General features: G+C 41.8%; 2 non-coding genes and 1 pseudogene across 3 annotated transcripts in view; all 3 read left to right on the forward strand.

Moving 5' to 3' along the window:
- Positions 1–8,730, forward strand: part of CCT6P3 (chaperonin containing TCP1 subunit 6 pseudogene 3) — a 36,360-nt pseudogene extending 27,630 nt beyond the window's left edge. Inside the window, exons 3-11 of the transcript NR_033416.1 lie at positions 270–443; positions 962–1,067; positions 2,473–2,627; positions 2,726–2,807; positions 3,678–3,774; positions 4,363–4,501; positions 4,926–5,059; positions 7,458–7,531; positions 7,795–8,730. The product of NR_033416.1 is annotated as a chaperonin containing TCP1 subunit 6 pseudogene 3 (transcript). The remainder of the gene's footprint in view (positions 1–269; positions 444–961; positions 1,068–2,472; positions 2,628–2,725; positions 2,808–3,677; positions 3,775–4,362; positions 4,502–4,925; positions 5,060–7,457; positions 7,532–7,794) is intronic.
- SNORA22C (small nucleolar RNA, H/ACA box 22C) lies at positions 16–149 on the forward strand. Its single transcript, NR_145729.1, has one exon. It is a non-coding gene; the product is annotated as a small nucleolar RNA, H/ACA box 22C (small nucleolar RNA).
- Positions 4,555–4,689, forward strand: SNORA15B-1 (small nucleolar RNA, H/ACA box 15B-1). Its single transcript, NR_145716.1, has one exon. It is a non-coding gene; the product is annotated as a small nucleolar RNA, H/ACA box 15B-1 (small nucleolar RNA).
- Positions 8,731–11,159: the final 2,429 nt, after the last annotated feature.

Raw genomic sequence — 11,159 nt, forward strand, 5'->3', positions numbered from 1 at the left:
ATGATTCGGAGTGGTTTGCACAGTGAACACCCAAGTGTGCTTTATAGTTCCCTTGGCTTTGACCCTGTGCTAGAGCATTGCCTGCTCTTCTCCTCTGCATTGAAAGGAATATTTATCCCTTTAAATGTATTCAGAAAGCCAGCACATTATATTACCTCGTGTTCAAAGATATGATGATCAGAATATCCCTCCAAGAATTATCTGAACTTTATCATGAACTATAGTTGCACCTAATTGAAGATGCAAGTGTTATTGTGTGTTTACTGTAGGGCCTTCATCCCAGAATAATCACTGAAGGATTTGAAGCTGTGAAGGAAAAGGCCCTTCATTTTTTGGAAGAAGTCAAAGTAAGCAGAGAGATGGACAAGGAAACACTTAAAGATGTGGCCAGGGCATCTCTTTGTACTAAAGTTCATGCTGAACTTGCAGATGTCTTAACAGAGGTATGTATTAAATTTTGTCTGTGTCTCGTATGGTACACCTGTATAGAAAATCTCTGATAGTAGAAACGTGAATATAATTACCAATTTCAATCACAAGGTGCTATGTAGCTTCATTTTTGTGGCAGTGATACCTAATCTGTGTCTCTAAAAAGTAAAATGAGGAAATTCAAATAATAGTATACCTAACCGGGTTTTAAAAGTAAAATTGGAGCTTTCATTAAACGGTTTATAAAGTGGAGATTTTGTTATTAGAAAGCGTCCAGTTATCAGTATTTTTAATGAAACACCAGGAGGAATATTAATGTTAAGGAATGTTAATGTTTGGGAATTACAGATTGAGATTTCAGAAATGTAACAGCTGTTCATATATAATGTATTCTATCTGCTTATAGAAAAAGACTTATATCAGTGTAGAGATTATAAAATGAAGAAACTGTCTACTTTAGCCTTCTGAAAAGCAACATGTTTCTGCTGCTGCAAATTGAATTTACTTAATGGTTATCCTTCTCCTATTGCAGGCTGTAGTGGGCTCCATTTTGGCCATTAAAAGAAAAGATGAACCTATTGATCTCTTCATGATTTTGTGATCATTGACAAGAAACATAAATCTGAAACTGATACGAGGTAGGTGGTAGAAGACTATGAAATACTAACGGTGGGGCCTGGTGGCTCAGGCATGTAATCCCAGCACTTTGGGAAGCTGAGGTGGGTAGATCACCTGAGGTCAGGAGTTCGAGACCAGCCTGGCCAACATGGGGAAACCCCGTCTCTACTAAAATTACAAAAATTAGCCAGGCATGGTGGCGGGCTCATGTAATCCCAGCTACTTGGGAGGCTGAGGCAGGAGAATTGCTTGAAACTGGGAGGCAGAGGTTGCAGTGAGCCAAGACCACACCATTGCACTCCAGCCTGGGTGATAAGAGCAAAACTCCATCTCAAAAAAAAAAAAAAAACTAATAAAGTGTGTTTTGAAATTTAGGGGTGCTTTGTACAATATATATTGTTGGCAAAATTTTTAATATATTTGGATATAAAATGTTGTATATTTACCTGAAGGTATCAGTTGGATAAATTGCTCGGTGAAGATATAAGTTGGATAAATTGCTAGGTGAAGATTGTTTTTACTTTTAGTAATATTTTCTCCTGAAATAAGGTGAATGTTATGTTGTATTTATGGGTAGAATTATTCCGAAAGGTGAACAACATCAGTCATTTGGCGTTTATTGAATTGCTAGGTACAAAGCATAATGAGAAGCAGTAGAGGAATTAAAAAAATTTTTTTTTCTAAAGACTTAGTTAGAAAACATGTATATGTTCATTTTTCCTTTCTTTTTATGGAGAATGGAGTCTCCTTATGTTGCATAGCCTGGTTTTGAATTCCTGGGATTAAGGTGTCCTCTCACCTCTGCCTCCCCAAGTGCTGGCATTACAGGCACTTGGCAGAAAACATGTTTTTAAAAGATATCATCACAGTTTGACAGCCTATCAGGGAGACTATCTCTGCAGACTTTTCTGTACAGCATAGGATCTTCAAGTAATTCAAGAAACAACGCTGACTGCATGAAAATTATCAGTGCCTTCTCAGTTCGGTGTTTAACGTACACCCATCTGGAAATCAATAACCATAATTTTGTGTATGTTTGAACAGCTTAATCAGAGGGCTTGTTTTGGACCATGGAGCATAGCATCTTGATAGGAAGAAAAGGGTGGAGGATGCATATATCCTCATTTGTAACGTGTCATTAGAATATGAAAAAACTTAAGTTTATAGCCCCTTAACTTAAATGGAGGAGCTTCGTGTTTTAGGTGAGTTACTTTTTTGTGAAACTTCGTTTCCCACTCTAAGGACAATAATCCTCAAATTGGTTTGGGAGAGTTATAGGAAACAGCCTCTGAAGATGTGCAAGGGGTAGGATTGGAGCTCAGTGAGCTGTTTGTTAAATCTTAGGACTAATCCAGTTTCAGAAGCTATTTTCTCAAAAAATAAATGTTTCCCTGCTTTCTGTAACTTTTTTTTTTTTCTTAATAGAGAAGTGAATTCTGGCTTTTTTTACAAGAGTGCAGAAAGAGAAAAACTCATAAAAGCTGAAAGAAAATTCATTGAAGATAGAGTTAAAACAAATAATAGAACTGAAAAGGAAAGTCTGTGGTGATTCAGATAAAGGATTTGTTATTAATCAAAAGGTGAGAATGAAAATCCAGTGTATAAACTAAATAGTATGTATCATCCTTTTTACTTTTAAGGTGAAAGATGTTGAAACTAATTTTTATTTTTGTTATAGGGAATTGACCCCTTTTCCTTAGATGCTCTTTCAAAGAAGGCATAGTCGCTCTTCACAGAGCTAAAAGGAGGAATATGGAGAGGTATGAGTAGCAGATTTATCCAAGTAATTTGACTTTTACTTATTTTGCAAATGAATTGGGATTATTTGTTTTTCCTTATACTTTATTTTTGGGTTTTCAACTGTACAATTAATTGGCATTAACTATATTCGCGTTATTTTGCACCCATCAGCACTGTCCATCTCTAGGATTTTTTTTATCATCACAAACTGAAACTGTATACCCATTAAATAGTTACTCCCCATTTCTCATTCCCTCTATGCCCTTGTAAACATTATTTTACTTTTTGTCTCTGAATTCAGTATACTTTCTCCCAAAGAGCTCACCACAATAAAAGTTTTTTTAAAAATATTATTTTATTATTTTTTTGAGACAGTCTTGCTCTGTTGTACAGTGGCATGATCGTGGTTCATTGCAACTTCTACTTCCTGGGTTCTTAGGATTCTTGTGCCTCAGCCTCCCGAGTAGCTAGGATTACGGGTGTCTGCCACCATGCCCGTTGAATGTTTCGTTTTCGTTTTGCTTTTTTGGTAGAGGTGGGGTTTTGCCATGTTGGCTAGGCTGGTCTCAAACTCCTGGCCTCAAGTGATCCACCCACCTCAGCCTCCCAAGGTGTTGGGATTACAGGCGTGAGCCACCATGCCTGGCCAATAAAGAGCTCTTGTCCATCTTTAGATTTCATTTGCTGACTTGGGGAGAGTGGTTTAAATGGAGGGTTAAAAGACTGGTTTTCAGCTGGTTGATGGCAAATGAAAAGGCTTAGGTTAAAGTACATTTTAAACTGTAATTTTGTGTGTAATTCTGAAAAATTCCTTCCTAGAAATTACTGGTCTTCTCTTTGAACTTCACTGGTAACATTGCTTATTCATTTCCCTTAAAATGCTATTTCAGGCTGACTCTTGCTTGTGGTGGGGTGGCCCTGAATTCTTTTGAGGACCTAAGTCCTGACTGCTTGGGACATGCAGGACTTGTATATGAGTATACATTGGTAAGTGTATTTTCTTCCTGAGGGTAATAGAACTTTTTAGCTCATGAATTATTTTTGTTTTGTTTGAGATGGGTTCTCACTCCTGCCCGGGCTGGAGTGCAGTGGTGTGATCACAGCTCACTGTAGCCTCCTCATCCTGGGCTCAAGTGATCCTCCTGCTTCAGGCTCCTGAGCAAATGGGACCACAGACATGTGCTACCATGCCTGGCTAAATTTTTTTTGTAATTTTTGTAGAAACAGGGTGGTATTGTGTTGCCCAGGCTGGTCTTAAACTCTCGGGCTCAGGCTGTCCTTCACCCTCAGCCTCCCAAAGTGCTGAGATTACAGGCAGGAGCCACTGTGCCTGGTTCATGAAGTCTTTAGCAGAAAAATCAATTGAAATTCAGGATCAGATTTTTGTTTATATACATTTTGAAGGTTTATGTGTAGTAATGGGAAGCCATTTATATGTGATTTTTCAAAAAGATAATTTGGTTTGATGTGATCAAGTTTGTTCCTTATTAATATGCTGCTTGTCATTCTCTGTAAGTCCCTCTTCTCTCTTTGCACACATCGTGTTTTTGAAAATCATGTTTCTTCTACACAAAGGGAGAAGTTCACCTTTATTGAGAAGTGTAACAACCCTCGTTCTATCACATTATTGATCAAAGGACCAAATAAGCCCACACTTAGATCAAAGATGCAGTAAGGGATGGCTTGAGGGCTGTCAAAAATGCTGTTGATGATGGTAAGATCCTCACCATATTTCAATTCTATTAAATTGTTTTGCTGGTCTGAAAAGCATGGCTGAATACTGTGTTCTTTTATCAGTAGTTTACACAGCCAGACACCATGCAAAAGCAGTCTTCCCTTTAGAATGACTGATGGTATGCTAAGGTTTTTCATAGCATATCATTATTAAAGGTGAATACAAATAAATGAACTAATACTGATCTGCTGAAAGGCTGCCAGTGGCCAGTGAAGCCATTCTGGTTGGACCATTCTCCTATTTGATATGTTAGTCGCTTGTATTGTGGCTTTCACATGCAGTACTTAAATTGATGTGGTCATAGTGAATTTGTAAGAAATTAATGGCTTTCATATGTATATTTTGTTATTCATAATTAGTTCTACAGTTTTCTTAGCATTTTTCTTTTTCCCCCATCCAACAGGCTGTGTGGTTCCGGGTGCTGGTGCTGTGGAAGTGGCAATGGCAGAAGCCCTGAATAAATATAAGCTCAGTGTAAAGGGCAAGGCACAGCTTGGAGTCCAAGCATTTGCTGATGCGTTGCTCGTTATTCCCAAGGTGTGTATGCCTTAAACAGTCAATCTTCCAAAAGATTCAGCTGATCAAACCCTTTTGATAATGTAGGCTTTATTCATTCATAATACGGATTTTGGATAAACAGGATTGATCAGTTTTCTTCCTGACTCTGGAACATCCAAATGTATTTGGTTTCTCTGGGAGGCCTGAATAGCTGACGTTTCAGATGGCAAGAGAGAACCTGTAGCTTAATATTTGCAGTATTAGGGGTTATACTTGAGTACAAACTTGCTTTTTGTTTTGGTTTTAGCTAAACTGATATCATTGTTTTTTATTATATACTAATTTTGAAGTATAGCTTATGACTCGTGTATTGCTGCTGGGTTTGGGGTAGATGAGACAGTTGATCAGTAACTTGTGTCTGGTTATTCTCTGAAGGGAACATAAATGTTCTGTCTTCATGCAATGAGATTCTTTTTTTGTTTTGTTTTGCTTTTAAGAATTTTGAGAGTTTTGCTCTTGTTGTCCAGGCTGGAGTGCAATGGTGTGATCTCGGCCCACTGCAACCTCAGCCTCCCCAGTAGCTGGGATTACAGGCGCCTGCCACCACACCCGGCTAGGTTTCTTTTGTATTTGTAGTAGAGGTGGGGTTTCACCATGATGGCCAGACTGGTCTCATACTCCTGGCCTCAGGCGATCCACCTGGCTTGGCCTCCCAAAGTGCTGGGATTACAGGCGTGAGCCACTGCATCTGGCCGAGATTTTCTTTTGCTCTTTTTTTTTTTTTTTTTTTTTGAGATGCAGTCTCTTGTCGCCCAGGCTGGAGTGCAGTGGCATGATCTCGGCTCACGGCAACCTCCACCTCTCAGTTTCAAGCGATTCTCCGGCCTCAGCCTCCTGAGTAGCTGGGACTACAGGCACGTGTCACAATGCCCAGCTAATTTTTTGTATTTGTAGTAGAGACAGGGTTTCACCATGTTGGCCAGGATAGTCTCGATCTCTTGACCTTGTGATCCACCCGCCTCGGCCTCTCAGAGTGCTGGGATTACAGGTGTGAGCCACTATGCCCAGCCTTTTTTTTTTTTTTTTTTTTTTAAATATCAATTCTTCCTGTTTTCTCAGGAATTAAATTTGTTTACTTTAGGTTCTTGCTCAGAATTCTGGTTTTGACCTTCAGGAAACATTAGTTAAAATTTAAGCAGAACATTCAGAATCAGGTCAGCTCGTGGGTGTGGACCTGAACACAGGTAAGAGAATGCAACTGTTTGTAGAGGAAAAACTAGATGTAGTACATGTGAGTTGAAGCCAGGAAAGATTCAAAATGGGGACCAAAAAAAAAAATCTTTTGCTTTGCAATTTGACACCAGTACTATTAGGGAAGTCTGGGTTCTAAAATGGGATAAAATAGGATATTAATAAAAAATGGAATGACTAAGTATAATAATTAAGGGAGTAGAGTAGACTGAGTAATTTTGGTATAGTTTTGTTGGAGATGTTGAGTGGTGGTAGGTGGTTCAGATTAATGTTGAAGGATTTTCATATTGCATTTGCCTTAAACTCAGTTGTTTCTTTTTTTTTCTTTTTTTTTTTTTTTTTGAGACGGAGTCTTGCTCTGTTGCCCAGGCTGGAGTGCAGTGGCAAGATCTTGGCTCACTGCAACTGCTGCCTCCCAGGTTCACGCCATTCTCCTGCCTCAGCCTCCCGAGTAGCTGGGACTACAGGCACCTGCCACCACGCCTGGCTAATTTTTTGTATTTTTAGTTGAGATGGGGTTTCACCGTGTTAGCCAGGATGGTCTCGATCTCCTGACCTCGTGATCTGCCCGCCTCAGCCTCCCAAAATGCTGGGATTACAGGCGTGAAGCACCGCACCCGGCCACCTTACTCAGTTTTTAATCAAGTACTATGATAAGAAAATAGATTGGGTGATTATATTCATGGGTGAAAAACAGCTAAAGATAGCAAATAATGCCAGAAGAGGGGATCTAGAAATCTAATGAAATGGTGACAGCCCTGATCTTAGGCCCCTGTAACAAAACAACACAAATTAAGTACAAAGTAGGAGACAGATAACAGGTACATCCATGCAGTATGTGCAAGACCTATTGCTGTCAACATTATTATTTAATAAAAAAGATTTCTGGAATGAGGGAAATGATCAGTCCATTTTAGCCAGATTAGAGTTGCAGTGCTGTACTTTAGTATGGGTAAACAGAAATGTATCCAGAAGGAGAGAGGGGTGTTCAGGTCTTCTAAGTAGAAGTCAGACACTCCTCAAATATTGTGGACAGGGGTCATGGTTTAGAGTAGAAAATTGGGCTAACAGAGAAGCTTTGAATTCCCATAGTTAATACTGGAGGAAATGAGTCATCGGTGATAAGCAAAGCCACACACAGTATTGTTGGTTCTTATTGACTGAACTTACTTTGGTTGCCTTTTAGGTGAGCCCGTGGTAGCAGCAGAAGCAGGCATTATGGGATAACGATTGTGTAAAGAAACAGCTTCTTCATTCCTGGTAAGTTTGGGAAAATGAAAACTAAACTGTTAGAGAATCATCATACTCTTTTCATTTGGTGTTTTCTGTTTAGTCGCTCATTTTCCCCCATGAATAATGTAATCAGCTGAAAAGTATGGAAACCGAACTCGCCCTCTGATGTGTAGAGGGGAAGGGGGAAATTTAATTGGATGTTAACGTGTGCAGCTTAGTTGGAAGTGGGAAGTTGAGTCGAATTAGGGCTCCTAATCATCTGAGCTATCTAATTTTTATCCCCCTTTCAGCACTGATTGCCACCAACATTCTCTTGGTTGATGAGATCATGCGAGCTGGAATGTCTTCTCTGAAAGGTTGAATTGAAGCTTCCTCTGTATCTGAGTCTTGAAGACTCTGCAAAGTGATCCTGAAGAATACAGCTGTGGAATTTTTGTCCAAGCTTCAAATGAGTTTCAAGGGAATTTTCCCATGTGAAAAAAGGAGAGAACACTGGCATCTGTGGAAGTTCTGAAATTATAATTACAGTATTTTTTAAAAATTGCACTGAAGTGTACACAGATAAAGCAGGTCTTTCACCCAGTGAACAGGATGTTTTGCTTTAGCAGCAGTGACATAAAATTCCATGTTAAATAAGCATATATTACCTACCTTATTAAATATTCCTTGAAAAAGCAGATTTTAATGGTTTAATTTTATGTGGACATATGTTAAATTATTCAGCAGTACCCTATTGTTAAGCATCTGGTTTTAAAATTTTTATGCTAATATAAATAACGCTTAGTAATTTAAAATTTTGGAAGCATCCCGTTAGTGTAAATTTCTGAGTAAATTTATTGATCAGTTGGACTTTTCACGCTTTTGAAATAGCTTTGCTAAAATGCTCCCCCTACAAAGTTGTAGGAAATGGGAAGAGGAGTAAACTAGAGGCAAGGGAGTTGAGAGAGCTGGAAGGCATGGTGGCTAAGGGCTACGGTTATCAGGTGAAATTTGAGATTTGTAGGCTGACTATATTTTCAAGCTTCTGAACTTTTGCTTATGCAAAATATTCATCCCAAAGCCTCTAGCGTCATAGTTTCCTCACCCAAATTACTATGTTTCCACAAGATTTATATAGTTGGTCTATCTCTGCGGTCCTTGAAAGTGAAGTTGGTGTTACTAGGCTGTGGGTTTTGGGGGCTCAGCAGTGACCTGGAGTGTGCAAATAAATGTTAAGTTGAAACCTCCTTTGTGGTCTTGCAATGGTTTGACACACAGAAGCAATCTTAAAGGGAATGAAAGCTGTCCAAAGGTTCAAAAAGTAGTGAAGGGGCCTCTAGGGACCCTCAACCTGCTTTTCCTTACTTCCCTGGGCAGCCTTGCAGGTGGTATGGCCAGTCCTACACCTCGTGTCCGTCAGTTTCCCCCGCTGAACCGTTGGGTGAGGGGCGGTGGTGGAGCAGCATGCGCATGTGTGGAGGAGGCGACTGCCACCGTGGTGCGTGAGGGCGGATGAGCAGCGGGGCCGTGGGTGTGCGCGGCGTGGCGCGCCAGTCCTGATGCCAGCATGGGTTGTTCATCACCGCTGCTGTCCCTGCTGTCGCTCCTGGTTGGTGCGTGGCTCAGGCTAGGTCATTGAACCGCCGGCCACGCCGGGGGCGCTGGGAAAGGGGATGGGGCCCTCCGCCCTGGCGGGAGAGAGCCTGAGGCCCCTCTGCCCGCTTCCGGGATGCGCCTGCAGCCGCCGGCTGGGGAGGTCGCTCTCGGTGCGCAGGGTGCCTCACCGCCTTGTGCTTTCAACTTCTTGCTCTGGAATCTTTCAAACTTATAAAAGGGAAAGAGAGGCCGGGCGCGGTGGCTCATGCCTATAATCCCAGCACTTTGGGAGGCCGAGACGGGTGGATCACTTGAGGTTAGGAGTTGGAGACCAGCCTGGCCAACATGGTGAAACCCCGTCTCCACAAAAATACAAAAAATCAGCCGGGCGTGGTGGCGTAGGCCTGTAATCCCAGCTACTCAGGAAGCTGAGGCAGGGGAATCGCTTGAAGCCAGGGGGCGGAGGCTGCAGTGAGCCGAGATTGTGACACTGCACTCCAGCCTGGGAGATAGAGCGAGACTTCATCTCAAAAAAAAAAAAAAGGGAAAGAGGAGAATGTAACGAGGAACGACCCCTGCCCTCACGTACTCGTGGGCCACCTTAAAGAGCTGCCAGTTTGTGGCCAGTCCTGCTCCTGTGGAATCGCACTCTCCCCGTCTCCTGGAGCCATTTTGAAGTGGGTCCAGACATAACCCATTTTATTCTAAACCTTCAGCTGGAATAGTCAAAAGAAGTCACGAAAAAATAATTACCCTTTCTCAACTAAAAAACTGGCAGTGCTGCTTAATAATATATCCAATCTGTTCAAATTCATCTATTATCTCATAAAGGGTTTTTAACGTTTGCTGGCTGAATTAGGGACAAAATAAAGCTCATACATTGCAATTGTATGTTATTTCTTAATTCTGATTCAATCTGATTATTTCCCTACTTACTCCTTTTATTTATTTGTTTTTTTGGTGGGGCGGGGGGACAAGGTCTCACTGTGTTGCCCAGGCTGGAGTGCAGTGGTGCCATCATAGCTCACTGTGGCCTCAAGCAATCCCTGCCTCAGCTTCCCAAAGTGCTGGGATTACAGGCCTGAGACACCATGCCAGGATGATCCATTTTTTCCCCTTGGTGATATATTTGTTGAAGAAACTGAAAATAGGCCAGGCGCGGTGGCTCAAGCCTGTCATCCCAGCACTTTGAGAGGCCAAGGCGGGTGGATCACAAGGTCAGGAGTTCAAGACCAGCCTGGCCAATATGGTGAAACCCCATCTCTACTAAAAATACAAAAAATTAGCTGGGAGTGTTGGCACGCACCTGTAGTCTTAGCTACTCAGGAGGCTGAGGCAGGAGAATCGCTTAAACCCAGGAGACAGAGGTTGCAGTGAGCCGAGATCATGCCACTGCACTCTGGCCTGGGCAACAGGGCAAGGCTCTGCCTCAAAAAAAAAAAAACAAAAAGAAAGAAAAAAAATGGATGAAATCAGTGTGAATGTGTCAGAATAAGAGAGCCAAAGACAGGATCTTGAGGAACATCAAAAGACCAGGACTCTGCCTTGAAAGAAGTTACAGTGCTTAGACATCCTTTCTTGTAAAGACACTGAAGTGGTGCATCAAGCTGAAGAAGTGTGGCCTATTGGAAACAGTACTGTAAAGAGACCCGAATCTAGTCCTGTCAGCTGCTAACCAGCTCTTTAAGTCATATTTCTTTTTTGGGTCTTGGTTTCCTCCTGTGGAATAAGGAGTTTGAAGCACAGACCCTTTTTTATTTATTTTGAGACAGAGTCTCGCTCTGTCCCCCAAGCTGGAGTGCAGTGGCACGATCTTGGCTCACTATAACCTCCGCCTCCCAGGTTCAAGTGATTCTCCTGCCTCAGCCTCCCAAGTAGCTGGGATTACTGGTGTGCACCATCATGCCTGGCTTTTTTTTTTTTTTTTTTGAGATGGAGTCTCGCTCTGTTGCCCAGGCTGGAGTGCAGTGGCACGATCTTAGCTCACTGCAAGCTCCACCTCCCGGGTTCACACCATTCTCCTGCCTCAGCCTCCCGAGTAGCTGGGACTACAGGTGCCCGCCACCAGGCCCAGCTAATT

The sequence above is a fragment of the Homo sapiens genome, chromosome 7 (genome assembly GCF_000001405.40).
Source record: "Homo sapiens chromosome 7, GRCh38.p14 Primary Assembly".
Taxonomy (NCBI): domain Eukaryota; kingdom Metazoa; phylum Chordata; class Mammalia; order Primates; family Hominidae; genus Homo; species Homo sapiens.